At 42.8% G+C, this 26,402-nt stretch overlaps 1 protein-coding gene and 1 long non-coding RNA gene across 12 annotated transcripts, besides 5 other annotated features; one reads left to right on the top strand and one right to left on the bottom strand.

Moving 5' to 3' along the window:
- Nucleotides 1-3,107, bottom strand: LOC124902971 (uncharacterized). The gene is made up of 2 exons (XR_007063380.1): nt 2,816-3,107; nt 1-1,578 (listed from the first exon to the last, which is right to left on the bottom strand). It is a non-coding gene; the product is annotated as an uncharacterized LOC124902971 (long non-coding RNA).
- Nucleotides 2,178-2,227: a silencer, noted in NCBI's record as "silent region_4675". NCBI's record gives its function as "represses an Ori minimal core promoter by ATAC-STARR-seq in GM12878 lymphoblastoid cells {active_cell/tissue: GM12878}" and the evidence as "EXISTENCE:reporter gene assay evidence [ECO:0000049][PMID:35858748]".
- Nucleotides 2,258-2,687: a silencer, noted in NCBI's record as "silent region_4674". NCBI's record gives its function as "represses an Ori minimal core promoter by ATAC-STARR-seq in GM12878 lymphoblastoid cells {active_cell/tissue: GM12878}" and the evidence as "EXISTENCE:reporter gene assay evidence [ECO:0000049][PMID:35858748]".
- On the top strand, nt 2,447-22,757 carry CSRP2 (cysteine and glycine rich protein 2). Of its 11 annotated transcripts, none has more exons than NM_001413541.1 (7): nt 2,447-2,528; nt 15,205-15,317; nt 18,122-18,290; nt 18,575-18,656; nt 21,053-21,182; nt 21,826-21,919; nt 22,438-22,757. In NM_001413541.1, exons 3-7 carry the CDS (start codon nt 18,167-18,169, stop codon nt 22,512-22,514), a joined length of 507 nt encoding a protein of 168 aa, NP_001400470.1. In that variant the 5' UTR covers nt 2,447-2,528; nt 15,205-15,317; nt 18,122-18,166; the 3' UTR covers nt 22,515-22,757. The 11 variants fall into 11 exon arrangements, 10 of the variants coding, with proteins under 10 accessions (NP_001400470.1, NP_001400468.1, NP_001400467.1 ...); NM_001413539.1 differs by having other exon boundaries at nt 18,507-18,656; NM_001413538.1 differs by lacking the exon at nt 18,575-18,656 and adding an exon at nt 11,615-11,767.
- Nucleotides 6,522-7,023: an enhancer, noted in NCBI's record as "NANOG hESC enhancer chr12:77268223-77268724 (GRCh37/hg19 assembly coordinates)". NCBI's record gives its function as "activates a minimal SCP1, AML or CMV promoter by ChIP-STARR-seq in naive H9 embryonic stem cells {active_cell/tissue: H9 hESC(naive)}" and the evidence as "EXISTENCE:reporter gene assay evidence [ECO:0000049][PMID:30033119]".
- Nucleotides 16,210-16,319: a silencer, noted in NCBI's record as "silent region_4673". NCBI's record gives its function as "represses an Ori minimal core promoter by ATAC-STARR-seq in GM12878 lymphoblastoid cells {active_cell/tissue: GM12878}" and the evidence as "EXISTENCE:reporter gene assay evidence [ECO:0000049][PMID:35858748]".
- Nucleotides 25,131-25,331: a silencer, noted in NCBI's record as "peak1846 fragment used in MPRA reporter construct". NCBI's record gives its function as "represses an SCP1 promoter by STARR-seq MPRAs in K562 erythroleukemia cells {active_cell/tissue: K562}" and the evidence as "EXISTENCE:reporter gene assay evidence [ECO:0000049][PMID:32103011]".

Below are 26,402 nucleotides of genomic sequence, written 5' to 3'. Positions count from 1 at the left end.
TACTTAGCAAAGCACAATTTTATTTCTTTCTTGAGAGGCAAAAAGGACATCAAGATATCTTTGCTTAACATAACAACCATCAATTATTCAGTATTTACCATGTGCCAGGTGCTATGTTTGGCATTTTACATACATCACCCAATTTAATCCTCATAACAACACTACAAGATGTGTAGAATTATCTTTTTACAGATAAAGAAACAGATGCATAGAGGTCAAGTACTTAGCCCAAGCTTACAAAACTGATAGGTGGCAGAGCTGTATGTTGAAATCATGTGTGTTTGATTCCAAAGCCCATACTCTTTCTTTTGCACCACTCTGTCTAAAAACTCTTAAATAATTTCTTCATGTTCATAACTAAAAGAGTCAACAGTTTAAATAGATGTTTAAAGAAAATAAATATTTTTTAAATGTTGATAAATACAAATACAGATTTGTTCAAAATCACACGTTGTATATCATCTGCAGACTCAGTGTGAAGTACACGGAGACAAACACATACAGGGACAGACAGCAGAAACACTTTTAGGTCAGAAACAAGCCCAATTTCTTTTTTGTTTTGTTTTGTTTTTTTGAGACGGAGTCTCCCTCTGTCACTCAGGCTGGAGTGCATTGACGTGATCTCCACTCACTGCAACCTCCACCTCTCAGGTTCAAGTGATTCTCCTGCCTCAGCCTCCAAGTAGCTGGGATTACAGACATGTGCCACCACGCCCGGCCAACAAGCCCAATTTCAAATGATAAGACATGGCTATGGAATTTAGGGACAACATGAGCTTGACGGAAAGCAAACAGCTCAGGTTTGGGAGGCCCCTTCCACAAAGAGGCATTGAGAAGAACTCAGGGTAGGAGAGAAAGGGCAGTGGTTTGCTGCAGTGAGACTCACTGATACAGTTTCATTCAGTAGAAGCACTAGGCAAACTTATACAAGAAAAAATAAACATTGTAAGCAGCTGAGCTAAAGCGAATGTAGAATCTGAGGGACTGAATTTTCCTGTTGGCCCGTGAGTCAAGTCACTTACACTAGCTGATATCACTGAAATAAGGATTGCCCATATTTAGAAAAGCTCACAGCAGGCAAGAATGCTTTCCAGACTCCTGCCACAGTATCAGGAGATGTCAATCACCACTATGTGTTTTTGGACAGTACTTGGTGGACAGAGAACAAGGCAGCTATAATGAGTTTATCCTGGATTGGCCCCAGCATATAAAATAAAACAATAATAATATTATAAGTCGGTTCTGTACGTTGTCATGCGGATATGTGCTCCCTGCCCTCTCCCCAAGAGGGCATTTGGCAATGTCCAGAGACTTTTTGATTGTCACAACGTCGGGGGCAGGTTGCAACTGGCATCTAGTGGGTGGAGGCCTCCTACAATGCACAGGACAGCCCCCTACAATAAAGAATTATCCAGCCCAAGATGTCAATGGTGTGGAGGATGAGAAACTCTGGACCAGAGGAGGCAATAGCATTTATGGCATGAGGGGGTTTTGGTCACTGACTTTTTTGAACTCCCCACTCCGCAAGTATCAGTTCTCCGGGATCATTGCTTCTGGCAGGAGAGGTCATGAGGAGGCCTAGAATATGAACCAGATAGAGATTGCATTGTTTATTTTCCTTTTCATCTAAAACAATAAATCATCCTGTAGCTTAGGCATTAGGTCCCTTCGGATGTCACGGTATCCTTGTGCTTTTCTGACATCAACACATATAAATACAGGGCCTGTGGCGCCCGGGGTTTCTGCCTGGGTTTAGGTTTCTTCCCCCTCAGCATCGCGTGCTGTGCCCTGGTGGAGGGGAAGAGCGAAACACTTTGGGAATGGGGCGTTTTCGTAACGTCATTTATTTAGTCTAGATGAATTTTGCTCTTTAAGAATAAGAAGTTGTGGATTCCCAGAAGCTGGAAATCGGACGAGAGAATATGCGTTAACTAGGGAAGTTAATCACGTTGAGTTTACTGACAAGGACAAGGCAAGGGGGAGGTGGCGGAAAGCCCCGTTTGGCTGACTTTCTACTGCTGGAGCCTCCCGGCCCATGACTGTCTCCGCGAAGAGGGGGATCGGCGCTCGCGGTGGACAGGTCCGACGCAGGGCGGCGGGGGCCACTTTCCAGCGGGACCGTCCCGCCGCCGGGCCTCCCTGGAGGGGAAGGAAGTCCCTCTCCAAGTCCCAGTGGCTTTTGGAACTGCCGGGTCCCTTTGGGAGGGAGCGGTCCCGGGACGTGGGAAGATGCCGGGCGGGCGGGAAGCTGCAGGAAGAGGCGGGCCTCCTGCCTTTTGTCTCCTGGTGGCTAGCCCGGAGCGGGCAGAGGGCAGCCCGCCCGCTACACGCCCCAGCCCGGCAAGCGGCTCCGGGAATCCGGCGGGCGGGGCTGGGAGGAGGGCGGGGCGGACACAGGCCGCGCCCACCGAGCGCTCTTTAAAAGGCACCGGCGCGCGCTTCGCCTGGGATCTCGGACTCCCTGGACCCTCCCTCCAGCCCAGCCTCGCTAGCTCCGCCTGCGGTACGTGCTCCCGCCTCCGACTCAAGTGAGTAGGGGCGGTGGGGCGGTTCCGCGGCGCCGCCAACCCCGGGGCGGGAGTTGCAGGGGGTTTCCACCGCCTCCCGGGGTCGTGCTGTCGCCCGGCCGGCGCGCCCCGGTCTCCTCCGACATCCCCATCCCGGTCCGCATTTGTGCCCCTGCCAGCCTTCTCATCCCTGCGCCCCAGATTTTCTCTCTCTTATCCCCCAAACACACCTGCCCTTGTCCCCGAGGCCGTCCAGGCCATGCCCTGGGATCCCAGGCCCGCGGGGCAGGTAAATAATCTTATATGACCTTTAATTTCTCCATACTGGTTTCTCTGGGAGAGAGGCGGGTTGTGAGTTTCGCGTTTCTGCTAATCCGCCTCTTAGCAGCCGTCGGTCCCCTCGTCCAGCGGCAGGCTCTCTCTGGGGTGGGGGTCGGAGTCTCAGGGCCCCCTCTGCCCGGAGTGTGGTGAGCACCGAGGGCGACCTTACTGGGTTCTGTCCCCTAGGGGTGGAATGGGGCTTCTACATCCCCCCGAGCCCAGGGTACTGCTCCTGCCGCCGTACCGGGCTCCTGGCATCCCCATTGTTTGGTGGTGTCTGCCCACCCAGCACCGAACCCCTCTATGTTGAAGGAACAGCAGGGAATGTCAATCACTTACTCCTAGCTTTTTCCAGAACTTTCTACGATTCAGGTACAAAGAAGAATGCAAGAATGCTTGGTTGTGAAATTATGCGACAGGTCCTGCGAATCACATTCTGGGTTCTCCAGAGCCAGATTCAGGAGCTCCACGTAGGCACCCCCTGGGGGCGGGGGCGGGCTTTCTAAACCGGCGGATCCCTTTCCCCCTTCTAAGCCAGGACATTTGTTAAACGATTTTTACTTAAATGGCTACCCAAAATGTTTAACCTGTTTTATTTGCAGTCTGCAAACCAAGCACATTTTCCCTTTATAAATGCTTTTCGGTACAGAATTTTTTTTGGGGGGTGGGGGGGTGGGGCGGGGGCAGTTAGTAATTTTTTAACCCGGGCAGCGAAAATCGTCGTATTTAGTTCTTGACTTTTCCAATTAACCTGTTTTAAAACTCTCCTCATAAAATGCCAAGAATTCAAATAGGACAGCCACAAAGTTGGCTGTACTTTGACTCACGTTTTTCAAGAAAGAATTGGGTGATAGATTTTGAAAGGGAGAATCTAACATAGTTTCAGAACTGCATGCCAAGCTACAAAGAATGTTGTGAAGTACTAAGTGGTCTCCCCCAGTACTCCTGGGGTCATCGCTCTCGTCCATTGTCACTGATACTTTGTCAGTATTTCTCTGGGTCCTTTCTCCTCTGCATTGTAGTTTTCTTTGCTCTTTTGGTTCTGTGTTACCTTTGAGACCAGACCTGCATCACATGAGTCTTTGAAACTCACAGTGCTTGCTTGGGTACCTTGGACAATTGACTGAAAGAAGGAGCGAATAAGGTTGTGATTATAGGGAACAAAAATATAATTTGACTCACACAATAGGTATTTGTTTGCAGATTTGATCTAAAGTTCGTATCATAAATTTTTAATGCATTTCTCCGAATGTATTTAACAAATATTGATTGATACTGGTATAGGCTAAGTACTGTGCTGAAAGCAGTACTTGCTGGAGGCCTGTCCTGATGAAATTGCAAAATCACTTGGATTTGGGGGAGATTGAATTTTATCCTAAAACAGCAAGAATGTTGGTGTAGAGTAGAGGACAGCAATAAATGAGGAGTTTTAGAAGCCTGAGTCCAGAGGCAACTCTGACACTAAATTGCTATAGTGATCTGGGTCTCTAGGTTTTCTTCTTTGTCAAAAGTGAGGTGAATCAAATGAACCCCAAAAGGGAGCCCCCTATGGGAGAGGAGGCATGGCTGAAAGGGGGAGGAACGAAGCCAGGCAGGACCAAATTCACACCTCAACTCCAGTACCCATTGGTTTGATGCCCTTGGGCAAATTAACTTTACTCTTTGGCCTCAATACTTCATCATGTAAAATGGGTGTAGTGGCACATGCCTTGCAGGGTTGTCATAAGGCCTGTTGATACTTGTACAAAGCCCAGCCCAGCCTGGGAGTAGTTCCTTGTAATTAGACAAAGTTGTGCACTTGGTTGAATATATGTGGGAAAAGGCTATCAGTGAAAGTCTGTTTCAGGAGAGAGCTGGCTCACACCTGAAGAGCGTTTCCTAGACCTTGCCTGGAGGCCAGCTTTCTTCTCTGTGCAGATGTTCACAGGTTTCCTCAAGGCACCTTACCCTGACTGCCAGCATGCCATCCCTTGGGTTCTGTTGGGTGGGGATCCCCAGACACCTCTGGATCTTTGATTACCTAGGTGGGGTTTCTGACTTTTTATATCATGGCACTCCTGTGAGGCCTCCAGACCCCTTCTCAAAATGACGTAACATAAAGTATGTGGTACCAAGTTCCCCAACCCCCAGAATTAAAAGGAATTGTGGCCTTTGGGTTAAGAATCCTGAATTAAGGGAATATTTCTCAGTCTGGATAGTGGAGAAGCTGGGCACAATTTCTTTTTTTTATATTTTTTCCTTTTCAAATTCCTTTTTACCACAGGCACAATTTCTGATTGTTAAAAATTTTATTGTTGTAAGTCACAGAGGAAGAACTAATAGAAGTACATGGTGAATGATCTGGAAAGGATATCAGGTTCCTTGTTTTTTTGTTTACAATCTTATTGTGCCAACAATACTATTGTCTTCGACTAATAAGAACAGACACCATGTAATACATTAGGGCCAAATTACTTCCCAGTTCACTATAGGAAAGAGGGCTTCATGGTGGTTTCACAGTACTTCCAAAAGAAAATAAGCAGAGAGAATTGAATCCTCATCCAGCACACGGCAGTGCAGGAACTACTCAGCTTAAGAAGAACCTATGCCATAGCCATGGAGGTCGGTACTACATCTGTATTGCTACCAGGGGTTTAGTTTAGCAAAACATCAGTGAAATAATTTTGAATTGGAATTTTATTGGTATTCATTTTTAAGTTGAATTGATAATTTTATTTTGGTTTCACAGTTATGAGTCATTTAATAGCTCTATGCCTCAGTTTCCCCACTCATAAAATGAGAATAGTGGTAGTGCTTACTTTAGTTGTTATGAGGATTAAATGAGGTAATATAAACATAAGTAAAGCATATATTAAGCTTTATAGAAGTATTTGTAATTATTACCTGTCATGTGGCAGACACTATTCTAGGTGTTTTGCATATATTGTTTAATCTAAAAACTGCCTTATTGTATAAATAAGCATTGTCCCCATTTTTAAAATGAGAAAACTAGCAGATCAAATGAACAACCTGTGATCATTTGGCAAATAAACAAGAGTCTCAGCATATATATCTAGGTCTGATTCCATGAAAAAATCGTGCAAATATTAAATTGTTTGAATAATTAAATAACTTGTAGTTTTGCACAGATTGTGGATTGCTATGGCAGATGTTGGGGATCAGGGTTACTGAGCTTATAGCATAGTTGCATTTTAATTACAATATGGGATTTGGCAGATAGTGATTCAAATCTGTGTCGAATTTTGCTGCACTCTAAGTTGAAGACACGAGTGGTAGCAGAATACAGAAGTAGTAAGAATGGTGAGGCTGAGGTACACACAGGAGTGTTCACTAGATTAGAAGAGAGTTTTCCTTCAGTGGGGTTAGATTTAGGTTAGCAGAGAGGGGTAATAAAAAGCTTTTTGGTTGAAAGTAGCAGTTTGGGTGTGAGAGTGGTGCACAGAGACCACTTACTGACCGCTAGTTGGATGGAGAGGAAGGTGTGTAATTTGTGTGTGTAATTTGGTAACTCAAGGATTGAGAATTCTCAGGTCATTTGAATAGTCTCAACCCTTAATGTTCTGTGCCTGTCAGATATGGGAGTTTTGAGGAAAGCTTGTGGTTCTGGAATCAAAACATGAGCCTGATTTGTTTCTTTGGAGATCTGTGACCTCAGCAAGTCACCCAACTCATCAGTCCCCATCCTTTTTGGCACCAGGGACCAGTTTTGTGGAAGACAGTTTTTTCATGGATGGTGGGTGGATGGTTTTGGCATGAAATTTTGGGATGAAACTGTTCCATCTCAGATCACCAGGCATTAGATTCTCGTAACGAGTGGGCACCTAGATCCCTCACCTACACAATTCACAATAGCGTTCCCGCTCCTATGAGAATCTAATGCCTCTGCCGATCTGACAGGAAGCAGAGCTCAGGTGGTAATGCTCGCTTACCCTCCACTCACCTCCTGCTGTGCAGCCTGGTTCCTAGCAGGCCACAGACCAGTAGCAAGTAGCCTGAACACAAAACACAGCCATCGGTCTGTGGCCTGGGGGTTGGAACCCTTGACCTAACGGACTGAACTTGGTATATTCAGGCCCCGAGTGCTCCTAAAGGAAAAGGAAGCCCGCCCATTTGTGGAGTACAGGCTCTTTGCCAGGTACTTTACAAACTTTATCTCATTAAATCTTTACAACCGCCTATAAGATAGTTCTCATCCATTTCCAAGTTACCTCTGAGGAAGTTAAGGCTCAGAGGTTAAGGAAATTTGGCCAGGATCACATAGCTGATAACTAGCTTTGACAACCAGCTTGTGTCTATCTGATTCTAAGCTCCGCACTGTTTCTTTTATATCTGGCATGTCTAAAAGGTGGCATGTGTACTGCGGTATTTCCATGGCAAAAATAATTAATCACAGTTCTCTTGATTGTAGAACCTGGACTGAATTTCAGAATCTTTCTCAACGTAGTTCCAGGAATCCACTCTCAGTGGATCTGCAAGATGAAACTGTTTTGTCATGCCTGTGAAAGTAAATGGTGCAGACCTTCAAAAGCCCTTTTTGCATGCCTCTGTGTCATTTATTATATTGCTATTGTTTGTCCACATGTTTTTACCACCTCAGTAGAACTCTGTGCAAAACGGGCCTTTCCTTATGACCCATTTATCCTCAGCCCCCTAACCCAGTACCTGGCTTATGAAATACTGTTGAATTAATACATTTATATGAGAGCTTCATAAACAGTAAAGCATTATGCAGTGCTTATAAGCTGCCTCTACCCTAGAAAAATTACTTGAGATACAGAAATGAAGTTAGCTGGATGGAACGGAGGTAAGGCAGTTGCCTTGATGGGGAGGGTTTGGGGGATAAGGAAGGAATAGATATGTGAGATGGTAGGGCAAGATGAGTATTGATAACAAAGGTTAGAACATTGCTAAATATTGATACTATCATTTGAGTCCCCACTATGCAAGCGTTACCTCATCTATAACTCTATAAAGATGGTACTGTTCTTAACTCTCTAAAAAAGGTACTGTTGCCCTAAGTTTACGGATGAGAGAAATGACACTTCGTGGACTCCAAACGCGTGTTCTTACTTTGCCCTTATGCTGAACTGACTTAAAGGCCAGGTTGAGGATTTGGCTTCAGTAGGAGGAGCCAAATGGAGTACGGAGCTGATCACTAAGACATGAAGAGTTCATCCTTGGTTCAGTGGTATTCACTTCCGTAAGAGAAGTAGACTAAGTGGGTAGTTGGGGTAACAGAAGAAAAAATTTGTAGAACAGGCATCAACTGAAAGCTTAATTTCCAATTAACTACAGCTGTCAAATCCTGGTCTTGCTAAAAAGTCATCGTAACGGGACAGTGCTACTAACTTACATTCTTTAACAAGTGACTCCCCCTGGATGTGGCTCAAGATGAGACTGTATTTTATAATAAATTCTCCTTTAGGGGAAATTGGATTATAGTCAGGTTCTAGTGTAATAACAAGGCCCTACATGTAGTAATAAAATGTCAAAGCTTCTGGAGGCATTTAGAATCTGGGCAAATATAGAATATAGACTAATTCAATCCAAACTTTTAGTTTCAGGGCAGATAACTTAAACTTTAAATGGTAACATATAGATTTGAATTTCATAGATTCAAGTCATTCTGATTCTAAAGTAAGACAGTAAATGCGGCACTAATGGTATGAGAATGGCCCAGGTAGTCAGCTCTTGATTATCATACGGCTCTGATGAGTGCAGGAACACAAGGGTTCTTGATCCTGCCGCCGGTTTAGATAAAACAACACGGACACACGTGGAGTGGTTTTAAGGAGCGGAGAGTTTAATGAGCAAGAAGGAAGGGAGAAGACAGAAGGAAGAAGCTCCCCGGTACAGAGACACAGGGAGGGGGGCTCCAAAGCCCAAAGAGGAGGTCCCCACCTGCAATGGATACCAGCCTGGTATATATGCAAAGACTGGAGGAGGCGATGTCTGATTTACATAGGGCTTAGGGGATTGGTTTGACCAGGCATGTCATTCACGTAGCCCAAGAAAAAGCTGGCCCTCACACCCTAGCTTTTTAGTATGCAAATGCAGGGCGCCATGATGTTCCACACACGTGGGGATATGTGGAGGCTGCCCTGTCACCAGGCACAGGTGGGGCATTTGCATGGCCCACATGGCCTGCATTTGCATATCAAAGGTTGCTGGCCTGGCTCTAAGAGCCAGGGCTTTACAAGAAACTTTTCCAGAGATGCTTTAAAAAATGAAAACTTCCCAAGGACCCCTTTTCCTCTCTATCTGCCTAAAATAATTTCGTAATAACTCCTACCACAGTTATCTAGAGAGTGAGCTAACTGTACCATAAGACGACTCAGACTTAGACTATATCAGTTTTTCCGCATGGGTGAGTCTTATGAATTTTGGTGGCATCTTAGGCTAAGAAGAGGTAGCAAGGAGAAATTGCACATAGGTGTTCAGATATAAATCACGTTGTAACATGTAATACAGTGGATAAATCCTAGTGCTGGAACTCTTTCAGACACTGAAAAACAAGGAACAAGACTGAGAAACAGAATTTGCCCTATTTTATCACATGTAAAGTGGGATTTTATTTTTGCTTTTACCATTCTGTAAATTAATGCCTAGGATTTGGGAAAGGCATGCAGCCCAGATTGCTTAGTGCAAATCCAGTTTGCTGTGATTAATGGCAGCTGTAGTGGAGTAGTACGGCCAAAGGCTTGTAAGAAAAATGAAGACTTGCTTTTTTTTTTTTTTATGCACAGCAATGCCAAGAGTGACAGAAATGGAAGATCATCATACTTCTTCCAGCCAAATTCAGGAAATGTCCATTAGAGGTTCAGCCTAAAAGTGCAAATTTGAACTTCGTTTCTTTTCTTTTTTTTTTTTTTTTGAGTCGGAGTCTTGCAGTTTCACCCAGGCGGGACTGCAGTGGCACTATCTCGGCTCACTGCAAGCTCCACCTCCTGGGTTCACGCCATTCTCCTGCCTCAGCCTCCCGAGTAGCTGGGACTACAGGCACCTGCCACCGCGCCCGGCTAAGTATTTTTAGTAGAGACGGGGTTTCACCGTGTTAGCCAGGATGGTCTTGATCTCCTGACCTCGTGATCTGCCCGCCTTGGCCTCCCAAAGTGCTGGGATTACAGGCGTGAGCCACCGCATCCGGCTTGAACTTTGTTTCTTAGACAGTCACCACCATATGTGGAACTGTTGCTTTACTTTGGAGTGCATTTTAATGTCCCCAAAAAAGAAGGTTTATAGTGACCAATCAGCTCAGTTTTGTCCTTACCTTGTTTGTTGCTCTGCAGCTATGTTCTAGGTGCTGGTTGGTGGGTTTTCCTACTAGAGTACTGATAGCAGGCTGGATAGAGTGAGATGTCCCCTCTGTCTTCAAGCTGACAGCTACTGGATTCCTGCCAAGGCATTTGCTTACCTTATCTTGCCTTCACAATATTTCTGTGGGTAGAGAGAGCTACCTATCCCCATTTTTAGCTTGAGAAAATGAAGCCCAAGGTTGCGCAGCTATTATAACGGTGGAGTTAATCCAGGTGTGTTTAAACCAGTCAATCAACTTCCTCTCCCTCCTTCCATTATGAAATAGTTCAGACATACAAAGTAGAGAACAATATAAGGAATATTCAACTATCACCATCCACTTTTTTTTTTTTTTTTTTTTTTTTTGAGACAGGGTCATCTTGCTCTGTTGCCCAGGCTGGAGTGCAGTGGTGCAATCATAGCTCACTGTAGCCTTGACATTCCCAGCACAAGCAATCCTCCCACTTCAGCCTCCCAAGTAGCTGGGACCAGAGGTGTGTGCCACCATGCCTGGCTAATTTCTTTTTAAATTTGTTTTAAATATAGGTAATATAGCGTCTCCCTAAATTCCAAATTCCAAAGTGTTGGGATTACAGGCATGAGCTACCACACCTGGCTCCCTAACCATCTTAAAAAAAAAAAAATGTAAATCCAACTGAAGCTTTCTGACAATGTTCTTTTGTTACATCATTTCCCTCTATCACAGAAAAGGTTATTCAGAAATCCTTAGGAAAGCCCTTAAGCTGGATAGAACTGCAATATTTTGATATATGCAAATACTCTGATAGATGGTGTGGAGAATACAGAGATGTGGTCCCCACCATCAAGGGACCAGAAACTTATTGCACAGTAAGTTGAATGTTGTGGAACTTTGATAGGTATTTCCTGAAAAGCTGACACATTTACGTTTGGCTGGTGCAGTTAACTTAGAATAAGTAAGTTTAAAGAAACCCTGAATTACATAAAGAAAGGGAAGATATTCCTTCTTTCTTAAAAATCCAGGCTGTTCTTCAATGGTATGGAAGAGAATAACAAGGTTATTAGTTGGGTTTTCCTTTTAATGTATTTTTAAGTGTTATTCAAAGACAGCCTAGTCTAGCCTCAGTCGTGATAGCAATCTGGCTCCTTACTGGTGATTGCTCCAAAGTAAATATGTGTGAAAATGAAAAATACCAAGTTGGTATTAACAGTTCACTTTCTAATATGAGAAATGTTTCAATGATAGAAATGCCTCGACAACAACAAAGTATTTTAAGAACCAGTTGATAACTTGGGATCCAATATAAGTAATTGTAGTGTCATTACCTGGAGGCCTGGATTTGGCCTTTGGTTCTGCAGGAATCATGAGGGAACTTCCAGCAGATGTCTGTTGCATCCATGAGCATTCAGAATACAGGTAGCTTTGGAGGCAAGGGGCAAGGTCAGTTTCTCTAACTGTACTACAAACACGGGTCAGTGCAGGCTGTTGGAGCCAAGGCTTTATGTCTTAGGTTTTACCGCCAGGCTTATGTTTCACTCTGGATTTCAACAATGGAGTGCCTGTCTCCAGGGAGGAGAATAAAAGATTTATGCAGCTACAAAAGGAAAGCTTGTAAACATGTCCTATTGTCGCAAGATACTGATCCTATATGGATGCCTTCACGGTAAGCCTGGTAACATTTGTGGACCCTTGGAATGACTTTGTTCCTGTCTGGTTAAGAGAAGTTGGCTTTTTGCAAATTCAGACTTACATTTTAGTGATAACAAGCCATACCAGTCAGGGGTGTGTGTGTGTGTGTGTGTGTGTGTGTGTGTGTGTGTGTGTGTGTGTGTTGTTTGTTTTAAGGAACAGGAGCTCCAATTCCAAATGACTTAAGAAGGGAATTTATTGGCTCATAACTGAGGCATGCAGGATAAGATAAGGCACAGTTGATTGGCCGTGACTGAGTCACATGCCCAGCCTTGGAGTTGGGGGTTGCTATGGTTTGAGTGTTTTTGTCCCCTCTGAGAATCATGTTAAAACTTAATTCCCAATGCAACAACGTTGGGAGTTGGGCCTAATGGGAGATGTTTAGGTCATGAGGGATCCACTCTCTTGAATGGATTAGTACCACCATAAAAAGGCCTGGTGGGAGCGGGTTCACCCTCCTCTGCTCTTCTGCCATGTAAGGTACAGTGTTCCTGGCCTCCAGAGGATGCTGCATTGGAGGCACCATTTTGCAGCAGAGATGGGGCCCTTAGCAGACACTAAACCTGCCATACCTTGATCTTGGACTTCCCAGCCTTCAAATATTTATATTCTCAGTCTGTTCTTTATAAATTACCTAGTCTCTGGTATACTGTTATAGCAACACGAAACAGACTAAGATAGGGGTAGAGTCAGTACCATCTAAAACCAGTGCTTTTCTTTTTTTTTTTTTTTTTTCTTTTGAGGCGGAGTCTCGCTCTGTCGCCCAGGCTGGCGTGCAGTGGCACAATCTCGGCTCACTGCAAGCTCCGCCTCCCGGGTTCACGCTATTCTCCTGCCTCAGCCTCCTGAGTAGCTGGGACTACAGGCCCCCACCACCGTGCCCGGCTAATTTTTTGTATTTTTAGTAGAGACGGGGTTTCACCGTGGTCTCAATCTCCTGACCTCATGATCCGCCTGCCTCGGCCTCCCAAAGTGCTGGGATCACAGGCTTGAGCCACCGCACCTGGCCAAACCAGTGCTTTTCAAATCATCTATGGTAAATGTATTAGTCTGTTGTCACGCTGCTAATAAAGACATACCTGAGACTGGGTAATTTATAAAGGAAAGAGGTTTAATTGACTCACAGTTCCACATGATTGGGGAGACCTCACAATTATGGCAGAAGGTGAATGAGAAGCAAAGTCACATCTCACATGGCAGCAGGCAAGAGAGCTTGTGCAGGGGAACTCCCCTTTATAAAACCATCAGATCTTGTGAGACTTATTCACTATCATGAGACCAGCACGCGAAAGACTCGCCCCAGGATTCAGTTACCTCCCACCCTGTCCGTCCCACAACACATGGGAATTATGGGAGCTACAATTCAAGATGAGATTTCGGTGGGGACACAGCCAAACCATATCAGTAAAGGACTGTTATTTTTAATTTCCAAGTACAGACTGATGACTCTGTTCAACAGGATGAGTTCACTGATCTTCTCTTAGTTTTTGTGGCATAAAAGTTTCTAAATGCTTACCTGAAGTTTGTCTCAAATTGGTAACAAGAATAGTGGCCCATCCATCACCAGGAGACCACATTTTAATAAGCACTTCTCTAAACCACATGGTCTAAGAAAGAGATGGCTGCTTTCCCGGAAGACAGTCTAGGGAAGGTACCACCAGAAGAGAGGCAAGAGAATACTGAGTGCTGGAAAGTTCCCCACCGCAATGATCAACTCCATTAATCTTTCTTTTGGAGAGGCCTCATCTTTGTGTTCAGGAAATTGTCAGGTTCTGGATCACCTTAATGGGGTAAGATGAGAATTTCCCACATCCCTTTTGATTTTAAGGATTGGAGACTCTTTAATCTTTTCTACTTAGTAGCACTCTGTTTCCCTTCTCTTTCTAGCCAGGTTTGGGTTAGTAAGAGGCCTCGGCCTTATTAGCCACCTATTTCCTAGAGAGGCAAGCAGTCTATCTAAGGAGACCTAACAGGCAAGGGCTGCAAATGCCACTCTACAGAAGGAAGCTCAAAAAAGATGATGGGGAAAGGGGAATCAATCGCTTGTGTTTTTAGATACCACTCAGGGCAGGGCAGACATAACATGTCTTCTTAGCAGAACAACTTTCTGTACTGGTTAAGGCATCTGAGGAAGCTGGCCATTCAGAACCAGGCTTTTTTCTTTTCGTCAGAGTCTCGCTCTGTCGCCCAGGCTGGAGTGCAGTGGTACAATCTTCGCTCAGTGCAACCTCCGCTTCCTGGTTCAAGCAATTCTCCTGCCTCAGCCTCCCAAGTAGCTGGGATTGCAGGCATCTGCCACCACACCCGGCTAATCTTTTTTTTTTTTTTTTTTTTTTTTTTAAATTTAGCAGAGACGGGGTTTCGCTATGTTGGTCAGGCTGGTCTCAAACTCCTGACCTCAGGTGATCCACCCACCTCGGCCTCCGAAAGTGCTGGGATTACAGGCGTGAGCCACCATGCCCAGCCAGAACCAGGCATTTTAAAGTGGTCGAGGCAGACTAATTTGTTGAGAAGGGAGACGAGAAAATGTTGGCCCTACATGACAGTGAGACACCCTAGGATCTGTACTTCCAGCTTGCCCTTTACAGCAGGCCATACTATTCAGAGGCTATTCCTGCATGCTCAGCAAACAGTTCAACTGGTAGGAAGGGAACTTGTAGCAGATTCTGTATGGCCTGACTGACTTGCCAAAGAGGAAAACCCAACTGCTGGCTGCACTAGTGGGCCTTGGGGTTAGTGAAGCATAGAAACTTAAGCCGGAGCCATCTGGATGGGCGTTTGTTGTGGTTACGGCAAAAGTTCCGTGCATGCAGTTGTACGAGTCACAGACACAGCTATTTATGCTACAATCGTGTAATTTCAGCAAACAAATATAAAACTTGTTCTTGCAGGGCAACACACTTTGTTCCCTAGAAAGCGTGTTATAGCTTATATATGTTAAACGTTAAGAATTTAGTGTTGTTACAATTAATTAAACATGTAATGAAAACCTCCACCCAAGGGTAAGATCTTCAGCTGAGTTCAAAAAAATATGTTTATTAAAAATGGGCATATTAGGGAGGGGGACAAGGCTTGCCTTTCCCCTCCCCACGCTTCTTTCTTAACTCCTGTGGATTCTAATGGCATAGCTTGTTTTGTGCCTGGTGACCTGTACTATTGTACTGAATGCAGGTCCTTTGTCTGGCAGGAAAAAAAAAAAATCTTGTGCACGACAAGCCAGTTTCCTAATGAAAGAGTTGTTATTTGGGAGAGGAGATGAGGTTATTTTGGAGGAACGCAGGCCTTTGAAAGATGTGGTTAGAGAGGTTCATAAAGAAACGAAAATCTGCAGCTGTCCCTGGGCTTAAATAGCCCTCTAGGGAGCCGTACGACCAGCACAGGGACATTCTAATGAATCCTTTATTCCTTCAGAATGCCTGTCTGGGGAGGTGGAAACAAGTGTGGGGCCTGTGGGAGGACCGTGTACCACGCAGAAGAGGTGCAGTGTGATGGCAGGAGCTTCCACCGCTGCTGCTTTCTCTGCAGTAAGTAGCTCTCCATGCTCCACCTTTGACGGAATTTGTATGTACAGAGCTTCAATATGTCTATTTAAGGAAAAATTGTGGTTTTGCCAACAAAGATCATTTTGAAAGCACGAATGGTTTTTACCTGTCTTCTTAGATGTTGTAAATGCCAAGCCTAGCAGCGAAGACAGGAGGGGTGGCCCAAGACACCCAGCCTCCCTTTGTGTCCCCATAGCTTTTGGCCTCCATTTTGGCCTTTATTTTGTTAACACATCTGCCTCCCCCACCTCACTGAGTGCTGGGTGTCACTTATGTGGTCTGGCACCTAGCACAGTTTCTGGCACATTACAAGGGCTTAGCTCCCATTTTTGAGTAAATGATTGCTCCTCATCCACCCCAGCTTTCTCTTTCTCAGGTTCCCTTTAATGACAACAAAGTCTTCGGTTTTAAAACTGTAGAGTAGCAACTTAAAGCACTTCATTAATCATCTTCTGATTTAATGACAGAATTTTCTTTAATGAATGATTATGTCAGGTAAACCCACCCATACGGGCAGATGTTTGCCTTATCAATAGTATTGTACAGGGAAAATTCCTACAGAAAACCATAGGTTAAAAATAGGTTACATTGAGAAATAATCTTCAGGAAAAGACTTCTTTCTCAAATTTGAATTGTCCTTTTCCCTCATTGGAGCCAGCATTCAAGGTATCTGGACCTCTTTAATAGCATAACTAAACTGCTTTGCAGACAACCAGAAGCAGACAACAGAAAGTTGCAGTTACAAAAAAATAAAAATACTACATAGGAATGTTCACTATGTATGCCTTCCTCAGAAGACTTGGTTTAACCATTGCTTTTAGAAGTTACTTTTTTAAAAAAGGAATCTATTTTTCAGCAGGCTTGTAACCAAGAAAGTATGGAAACAGAATGCAAATACTTTAGAAATTGCTCTCAGTTTCATCTGTCTAGGTTAAGCCACAATGTCTACACCATAGTAACATATGCGTGTATGCTGTTGACATTTGTTTTACTAAATGTCAAGTTCTCTACTGGTCATTTCTACGAATCCTTTCTAATATCTGTCTCTGCTGACTAATGCCTTTTAAGGAAATAATTCAGAGTAGTTTGCAGACCTATGAGAATTTTACTGCAGAGAACAGCATGAGGACTGGGGAAGAAAGGGGTGGTTATATAGTAACACTTTCATATACCTACACTTGTTTTGGTTCATACAGGTTTTTCAAAACAGTATTTACATTTATTCTCTCTGTTAAGGGTAGTTGTCCTTCAGCAGTGCATGGTGTTAGGTTAACTATGGTTTAAGATATAGTTATCTTTAGGCACATGTATTTCAGCACTTGAGCCTCAACAGTTAGATTCCAGAGTAGATGCCATTTCATTCTACCATAGAAGACTTTAGTTTAAGATAATAGACTAAATTTTAAACCAGCCAGCTAGTCCTGCTTCCCTCCCCTCCTCTTTGCTGTCCTTCCTTTTGTCCTCCTTCCTTTTTATTCAACCCCCCCCCTTTTATTTTTCTTACTTTTAATTTTTATGGGTACATAGTAGGTATATATATTTATGGGGTACATGAGATGTTTTGCTACAGGCATACAATGTATGTTAATCACATCATCTTAAATGGGGTATCCATTACCTCAAGCATTTATTATTTTTTTGTTACCAACATTCCAGTTAATACTGTCTTATTTTTAAATGTACAATGATTGTTGACAGTAATCATCCTGTTGTGCTATCAAATACTAGATCTTATTCATTCTAACTATATTTTTACACCCATTAACTCTCCTCACTTCCTTCCCGACACCCTACCCTTCCGAGCTTCTGGTAACCATCATTCTACTCTGAATCATCATACAATTGTCTTTTAAATAAGGGGAAGAAATTCTGATCTTTGATTTCCAGCTGCCAGATTGTGCTACCAGTGAGTTTCCTCACAATTTACTTTTTTCTCAAGCTTAATTGAAGTTTTAGAAAATGAAATAATGTCTGGATGAAACTCGATGACATTTGGCAGTTTTATGAAGTGGGACACGTGGAAATGTCCTGTGGCAAGAGATCCATCAAGAAAGAATGCATTCTCCTTTGGGACAGAAGGGAAAACAAATGCAGACTTTAAAGCACTTGACGATTTTCAGGCAGACTCATCACTGCTGGAGAAGCTGCTGGGGAGAGGAAAGTGTGATACTTCCCAGTCTAGACTAGTGATGAAAACTAGAATTCAGGATTTAAAACTATTATTATCCCAGGAGGTGCTTTTGGGGGAGGAAAGGCTACAGAGGCAAGTCCCCGAAGGCACTGAGCTTCCCTTCTGTTCTGTATTAGGTTGTGATTTAACAGTACTTGGTTAAGAGAAGGCTGAAAAGATTAAGAGTGTTGAGGGTTGGGAGCAAGGTGGTGTTTTATTCCTTTTGTTTAAGCATTTTTATAGCCACCTTTGAAACTTTTCTCCCTTAATATGATCTCCCAGAAAGGGAAATCATAGTAAGAGTTTGATCAGCACCACAGGAAAGGGAATAAAAAATAAACGAAACAAACTAAAAATAAAGCTTGAGGCTTCTGGATGTTATATTCTGATACATTTCTGAAGCAACTGTCATATCCATGGAGGAATGTAAATAATCCTCGAATGTAGCTGGCCAGTCCAGATGCTGTCTCATGGCTTTTGGGAAGCCACAGGATAAACCAGGAATGTGAGGGAGCCTCAGCCTTCACCATTTGTAGGCCATGTGTCTGTGCCACCATTGTTCTAAGGAAAAAGGCATCTTTGGAACATGTGTAAAGTCTAACTTTTTCCCCTGCAGTGGTTTGCAGGAAAAATTTAGATAGCACAACAGTGGCAATTCACGATGAAGAGATCTACTGCAAATCCTGCTACGGAAAGAAGTATGGGCCAAAAGGCTACGGTTATGGCCAGGGCGCTGGCACGCTTAACATGGACCGTGGCGAGAGGCTGGGCATCAAACCAGAGAGGTGAGTTGGGAGACCGTTGGTTACCTTCAGAAATGAGTTGCGACAGTTAGTGCCGCTTGCTGAACAGGAACCTGGCAGTCTCCAGATTTTTAGTTGAAACTAAGCAAATAAAATGGGACTCTGATTTTCTAATGTCAACTAGTTCAAAATATTGAGTTTTGGACCTAACAAAGTTCTTATTAATAATTCCAGTGATTTCTACTTCTGGCTTTATAGCATTCCAAGCTGTATCAAGGAGTCGTGTTCTCAAAAGCAAGTGATTTGTATTTACTTCAATTTCACAGCACCTTGGAGACCGGATGTCATGAAATTAAATGGTAGAGAAATGTGCTGTGTGAATCATGAGAGGTGTTTCTCATGTGCAATGTAAGCAGCCAATGAAAATTCCTAAGTCACTCCTTCTATGTAAACATTTTTCATCAAGAAATCACTTTTCTCTAACTTAAAATTTTTTACTTAAAAATGGAAATTACTTCTTATTTTTGATTCTTTGAGAGAGTAGTGTTAAACTTTAAAGGCTTTGTTGCCAACGTATCAAGGTGCTAAATTTGTGAAAGTTCACTTAGTATTTCATATTCAGGTTAAATAACTTATTTGTTTAGAATTCCCCCCACACACTTTTTTTTTTCTTTTTTGTCACAGAATCTCACTCTGTCACCCAAGCTGGAGTGCACTGGCACAATCTCGGCTCACTGCAACCTCTGCCTCCCAGGTTCAAGTGATTCTCTTGTCTCAGCCTCCTGAGTAGCTGGGATTACAGGCGTGCACCACCACACCGGGCTAATTTTTGTATTTTTGGTAGAGGCGGGGTCTCACCATATTGGCCAGGCTGGTCCTGAACTCCTGGCCTCAAGTGATCTACTTATCTCGGCCTCCCAAAGTGCATGGAATAACAGGCATGAGCCACCGTGCCCAACCTGGAATTTCCTCCTAACTCCTACTTTTAACCCAGTGATTCCACTATTTGAACTTCACATTTTCACATCCATTTTATATTGAGAAGTCCAAAATTGGTGTAATAGTCCAACAAAATGGCCTTTGGACAAGACCATAAACCATGCCAGCCACCGTGCAGCATTAGCATATGTTAACTCGTGTAATCCTCACAACAGTCCTACAACATAGGGCTTCCTCTCTTTCTTCAGAACAGATGAAGACAAGAAAAATTAAGTAAAAACTTTGCCCAAAGTCACACTGTTAGTTAATTGTAGAGCCTGGAACTTAACCTAGTCTAACTCCAAACCTTATGACCTGAATGAAACGTGGTGCTTGGCTTGGCTAAAATAATAATTACCATGTATTGAGTCCCTGTTGTCTGTTGAACATTTATCTTCATTCTGTATAATCCTTAGAGTAACTCTGAGGTATACTTTGTCCATTTATAGATGACGACACTAAGAGTCGGGTCACACAAATAAGTGAGGGAGCCAGGATTTGAATCAATGTCCATTTGGTTCCAAAATCTGTTCTCTTCCTACTGCAGTATGTACTACATTGAGGCTCACCTCTGTGTTCTTTGAGCTTCTTCCACCCTCAGAGTTTCTGGGCCATGATGCCCAGCTTACCTTTTTATCTTTGTTAAAATTTATTTTACTTGTTCTGCTCTCCTTTTCCATCTTGTTACATCTATTTTTGTGTTTTAAAGGTTTTGTTGAAAACCTTTCAAAATCCATATCCCCTCACTCAACCTGCATCTCCCTCAATCCAAACCAGATTTATCCATGACCCCAAAAGTAAGTCAGTGACTATGGCCATAGTTTTAAAGCACAAAGACCAGTGAACCCTCCTTTTTTTAAAAAAAAAAAAAAATATATATATATATATATAGACAGGGTCTTGCTATGTTGCCTAGGCTGGCCTCGAACTCCTGAGTTCAAGTTATCCTTCCACATTGGCCTCCCAAAGTGCTAGGAAGACATTGTTTTTCCAGTAGGAAAAATTAACAGTTGTGGAGTGCTATCATTTTATCTGCTCAGCTAATTTATAAGGTTCTAAGAGGGCTTAAAAAAAAAAAAGTCTTCTCAAAGCCCGAGAATGTTCTGCACATACTAGGTACACCTTACTGAATGGAAACAGTTCCTACTGATAGCAAGAAATATGGTTTACTCAGTGATCTGTAAATAGTGACAAAAATACCACCCTTACCAGAGAAAAATGAAAGATAAACAGATTGCATAGTAATAATCAAAATTTATAAAATATTTTTCCATGAAGAAAGTTGGCTATTCACACTTTCCTTTATTCAAGATATACTGGGAGACTAAGTAATCTATAAAACATGCTTAAATTTCTTAGTTACAGACCAAAGTTAACTTACCTATTTGTGGAATTTTTAAACTACTTAATAGTGGTTTTTCCGACTCCTGTGAAGTAAAAAGCTAGGTATGATTCCAGTGATATTATTCTGGAGTAAAAATATATGCTCTGGTAAGTTTTTATAAACCGTAACATAATTGCTTAGTGGAGAGGCCAACACTGAGGAGTAAATGAATTCTGTTTAGACTCAGAGGGACAGATCTTTACGTTTGGGTCCCTATCTGGTTTTTTGAAATAATAATGAGCCCATAGATAGGTTCAAGTAGTAACTCTGGCTGGCACCTGAGTCACTTCTTCTTTATTCCCTCCCCTGTGCTGGCCTGCAAAGGCTTCCAGCTTTGAGGCAGTGTAGCGGTTAAGTCCCAGAGTTCTATTGTTCCTGCCTTGTGTACTTAAAAGGGCCCTGTGGAAACTCTTGCCTACTTTTTTTTTCCTCTTTTCACAAGTGTTCAGCCTCACAGGCCTACAACAAATCCAAACACTTCTAAATTTGCTCAGAAATATGGAGGTGCTGAGAAGTGTTCCAGATGTGGGGATTCTGTATATGCTGCCGAGAAGATAATTGGAGCTGGAAAGGTAAAGTGCTATTTGGAATTAATAACAGCAAATGACTTCTCTCTGCTCCCTTTCTCCCCTAACCCTTCCACATTCCTTGCTTGGGTGATGTCTTACAAATCACTGTCTTATATGAAACTTTTCTTTAAATGCATTTCCATCAGAATCATTAACTTTTTTGAAGTGATTCCCTTATTTGACAAGTCATTTTTCTGTTTAAAAGAACTTGTTTTCATAGGGGGCACTCCTGAAGGTTAAACTTTAAAAGGCCAGACTGTAAGGGAATCTCCAGGTTATTCAGTATAGTGAAAAAAGCAGGAATCCGAGTCAGGACACCTGATGCGAATTCAGTGTGTGGATTTGGAAAAGTTACCAGCTAACCTCTTTGAGCTGCGCTGTTCTTGGCCAGAAAAAAGATGGTCTCTTTAAAGGAGCAGACTGGGCTTGTGGTTAGGACTGAGGCTGCTCTTAGGGAAACAGCCTTTCTGTGGGTGATCAAGAGTGCAGATACTGAGGACTGGTTTCAGCCTTCTCATTGGAGCTGAACCACAGAAGTCAGGAGCTTGCTTTGAGATGATCATCCTGAGCCACTTCTTGCCATACATCTAAATTGAACTGTAGGAAACAGGCCTCTCAAACATGCTGACACATTCATCTCTTCCAGCCCTGGCACAAAAACTGTTTCCGATGTGCAAAGTGTGGGAAGAGTCTTGAATCAACAACTCTGACTGAAAAAGAAGGTGAAATCTATTGTAAAGGTAAAATTCATTTCAGTTACTGCTGTCCATATGAATATTCCACACTGGTTCTTGTTTAATGAAATGTCACTGGCATTAAAAAAAAAAAAAGAAAAGTATGCCACTATTTTCTGAAAATAAAATATCCCAAGATGCTTATAGATGACAGAGAACCACAGTTAAGTTCCTGATCATTTAAAACTCCCCACCAGATAAAAACACCACAAATAGCCATCTTTTGCCTTCATGTCTTGAGCAAAGCGTAAGTATATGGAAGAAAACAGACAAATACATACCTTACCTGGCCTGACTCATGCTTGCAACTCAGCAGGACCACGCTGAACACTATAGGGCCAGAATGTGTGGACTTGTCTTTGCAGCTTTAAGATATTTAGTACATGACACATTTAACATCTTAAATAAGTTGAGCTCTTTTACACAGCAGTTTAATTTATGGGGGTTTGTTGAGTGGGTCTTAAGCAGTGCTAGCAAAGCTTAATGGACTTGCACTAACTATCCTTCCTCCCTTTCCTTTGTAGGATGCTATGCAAAGAACTTTGGGCCCAAGGGATTTGGCTATGGCCAAGGAGCAGGGGCTCTTGTTCATGCCCAGTAAGATGTAAACCCTGAACTAAACATCACACACTGAGAATCTCTTCATAATCTAGGCACAGATAATCTTTAACACTAAACTACTGTGAAATTCTACCAGCATTAAGTACTGTATATCGCCCTGTACTTGGATAGGCTGGCTAACTCGTAGGAAGAGAGCACTGTATGGTATCCTTTTGCTTTATTCACCAGCATTTTGGGGGAACATTTCTTTTACATTTTAAATAAAACTTCAGCTTGATTTGGGTGTTCATTGTCTTTTAATTAATCTTTTGGAGGAGATGCTCTGATTTCAGTTAGTGGAAAGTCATTTGGTTCCCTACCTTTGTTACCCCATTACCCAGCTGACTCACTAGGTTCATGTTTGCATTACAGCTGTTGAAAAGGATCTCTCTTTCAAGCAGGCAAGTGTGCCTTAAGAGTAAAGGTTGCAGGCCGGGCGCGGTAGCTTACGCCTGTAATCCCAGCACTTTGGGAGGCCGAGATGGGCAGATCACGAGGTCAGGAGATCGAGACCATCCTGGCTAACACGGTGAAACACCGTCTCTACTAAAACTACAAAAAAATTAGCCAGGCGTAGTGGCGGGCGTCTGTAGTCCCAGCTACTCGGGAGGCTGAGGCAGGAGAATGGCGTGAACCCGGGAGGTGGAGCTTGCAGTGAGCCGAGATCGTGCCATTGCACTCCAGCCTGGGCAACAGAGCGAGACTCCGTCTCAAAAAAAAAAAAAAAAAAAAAAAAAAAAGGTTGCTAGGCAACAGGCATCATTATTTCAGCTCCTCAAAGCTGGTGTTCAGCAGTGCAGCATCTCCTCCTTTCCCTCCCCACCGTACTCTTAAGTAAGTTCTTTTGATTATACCTAAAATTCAGTACAAACAAACACCTATGGGCAATTATAGAATCAGAGACTTAGTATGATTCTTTTTAAAGACTCTACACTGTGATCTAATAGATGGTGACCTACTAAGTCCTGGAAACTGGGGTGTTTCACACATTTTGATTCTGTATAAGTAGCAAAGAATGTTGCATTGTCTGGGCACATTCAGCTGGCTTAGGTAGAAGAGGAGCATTAGACTTTATAAGGTATGGTTTCATTATTCCCCCAGAAAGTTTAGTTCTTTACTAGAGATTCAATCCAACTCCCTCACCCCCAGGAGCAGGGTGTAATAGGTCTGTAATGTGTATTATTAGTAAAATTGAACCAGCCCGTGAACATATCTTAATCTTTTCCAAGGTTCATTTTAACATACTATACTGTGTGAGTCTCGCTCTCTTGCCCAGGTTGGAGTGCAATGGTGCGATCTCAGCTCACTGCAACCTCCACTTCCTGGGTTCCTGCGATTCTTGTGCTTCAGTCTCCTGAGCAGCAGGAACTACAGGCATGCTACTGCACCCAGCTAATTTTTTATTTTATTTTTTTTAGTAGAGATGGGGTTTCACCATGTTGTCCAGGCTGGTCTTGAACTCTTGGCCTCAAGTGACTCAACCACCTCGGCCTCCCAAAGTGCTGGGATTACAGGCATGCACTACCACGCCTGGCCAATATATTGCTTATTTTGAAAAAGCTAAAGGGGATATGGTATGTACGACATCAAAAAAAATAAATAAGCAGAAACAAAGTGGGAGGAAGTTGGTGGAGGGTGTACTGGGTGCTTATTTCACATCATAGCCTTGAGCAACTTCAGGTGTTTTATGAGGCATACCAGTTCCATCATGGTGGGGCAGGAGAGGTAGTTAAGCAGTCTAGGAAATAATTGGCAATCAAAGAGGCTGAAGGAGAGAAGTTATGGAATAACTTCTGATTCTGTATGTGGTAGAACATGTCCACAAATTCTTTGACCTTCCCATCAAATGATAGTCTAATTCCCCTCTCTTTGAATAAAGGCCCACCTTAGTGACTCATTCTTAGTATTTATTATTTTGGATAAGGCTAGGTTAGAAAAGACAATACAGCTTTTGCCCACCTCTTCCTCTTAGGATGCTTACTCTTGGAATTCAGCCACCATGTTCTGAGGAAGCCCTGACTACATGAGGAAACCACATGTAGGCATTATAGCTAAGGCCTCAGCTGAGAGCTCATTCAACAGCCAGTATCAACCATCAGGCATGTGAGTGAGGCAGCCTTCAGATTATTCTAGTCTCTGGTCTTTGAGCCATCCCAGCTGATCCCAGGTGGAGCAAAGTGAGCTATTCCTGTTACGCCCTGACCAAATTGCAGATCTACGAACAAAAATGTTTTAGACCACCAAAGTTTGGGGTAGTTTGTTAGCATTCCTACCATGTTTCCCAAACTCTACTGGAGTTGCTAGTAGATATTCAAGAGGAAAAACAATGTAAATGAAGTTTCCAGGTGACTGGTAATTTGAGATTTCTGTCTGGTAAAATAAAACAAGATATCCATTCATACTTTAAATCATTCTTGATTGAGAGCCATGGCAAAATAGCTACTCCAACACTGTGAGATTAGTTTCCAGAGGTTCCAGGAGTAGAAAAAGGAAATTGGCTTTGGGCCAGACTTGGGAGGAATCACTTGGTCATTTGGATGTAAGTCAGTAACCCCAAAGTAATCCGAATGCAGTATTAAAGTGCTGCATGTCACAAAACATGTATTTTAAAAACTACCCCCCTTATATTGGTTTGGTATATTTAAGGAGGACTGCTGGCAACTCTAGTGCCAAAAAAGTCTTGTCAATCAAGTAAGTTTAGGGAGTGTTACAGAAATGAGACAGACCTGTATGCTGACACTGCACACTAGCTACTGAAGGCCTTGAGAGCCTATGGTTGAAGTCTTTTAATTTGAAGAGAGCCTTACACTGAATTAGTTGTCCATGGAACCATTAACATCTTGGGAAATGTTCTGAACCTGTGGTTTCCAAACAGTTTGATCTCAGGACCCCTTAATATCCTTAAATTATTGAGGACTCCAAAGAGCTTTTGCTTATGACAGTTGTCTCTATCAATATTATTTTGTATTAGAAATTAAACAAAATTTTTAAAATTTTAATTCAGACTTCCACTTATAGCCAAAATGTAGTAACAGGGACCAGATTTATTGTCTTACTGTAAACAAGACAAATTACATGAAAAAATGTTCAAGACACTGCACATTATAGGCAACAAAGGCAATTTATGGGGGGAAAAATGAGATCAGTCTTAGCAACTACCAAAGCTTACTGCTTTGAGCTTCTAGGCTGTAGTACAAAGAAGAAGAACACAGGTAGAGCTAGAAGCCACCATAAGTTAAGACAGAGCTAAGAGTCCAGGGAGATCCAGGTGGCTAGAGTTTGCAGGACTGGAGAGGATTAGAGAGAGCAAACTTTAGGATTATACAGAACACTACCCCACCATGCACGTCTTCAGCTGAATTCTGATAGAACATGCATGTTAGGTGACTAAGGCCAGGGAAAGAGCCATCCAAAAGACGTGGAGCAAACAGTGTCTGGTGCGCACATGGAATAGGAATAGTGCCTGTTCCACCACCAAGACTGGGAAACATGACTCCTTGCGGTTTTGGATAGAGTACAGAGAAGGCTCTTACTGAGGTAAGAGCAATGCTTTGGTCTTGCCTAACAAATCTTAAAAGCAAGACCTCAAAGGATCAAAGTTTCCAAGTAACTTAACTGCATCCTGAATAAAGCTCAAGAGTTTATAGAAACACAAAAATATCAGGCACCCAATTCATAGTGTTTGGCATCCAATAAAAAATTACCAGGCACGCAAGAATGAGGAAAAAAATATCAAAACTAACTCAGAACTGGCAAATGTAAACGTTAGCAGGTAAGGACATTAAAACAGTTATTAGAACTACATGTTTTCAAAAAGTTAAGATATTGAAGATACTTTAAAAGGTCCAAATCAAACATTGTAGGTGAAAACAAAATGAGATGAAAATAA

This window comes from Homo sapiens, chromosome 12, assembly GCF_000001405.40.
Source record: "Homo sapiens chromosome 12, GRCh38.p14 Primary Assembly".
In the NCBI taxonomy this organism is placed as follows: Eukaryota; Metazoa; Chordata; class Mammalia; order Primates; family Hominidae; genus Homo; species Homo sapiens.
The sequence above is the reverse complement of the archived record's forward strand: the minus strand, read 5'-3'. Positions and strand labels throughout refer to the sequence as shown.

What these genes read in the sequence shown, in the direction of transcription:
- CSRP2 (NM_001413539.1), top strand. Translation starts at nt 15,206, where the DNA reads ATGCCTGTCTGGGGAGGTGGAAACAAGTGTGGGGCCTGTGGGAGGACC. An exon ending in CCGCTGCTGCTTTCTCTGCA is followed by an intron (nt 15,318 to 18,121) that starts GTAAGTAGCTCT and finishes TTTCCCCTGCAG; the next exon opens with TGGTTTGCAGGAAAAATTTA. An exon ending in CTGGGCATCAAACCAGAGAG is followed by an intron (nt 18,291 to 18,506) that starts GTGAGTTGGGAG and finishes CTGGCTTTATAG; the next exon opens with CATTCCAAGCTGTATCAAGG.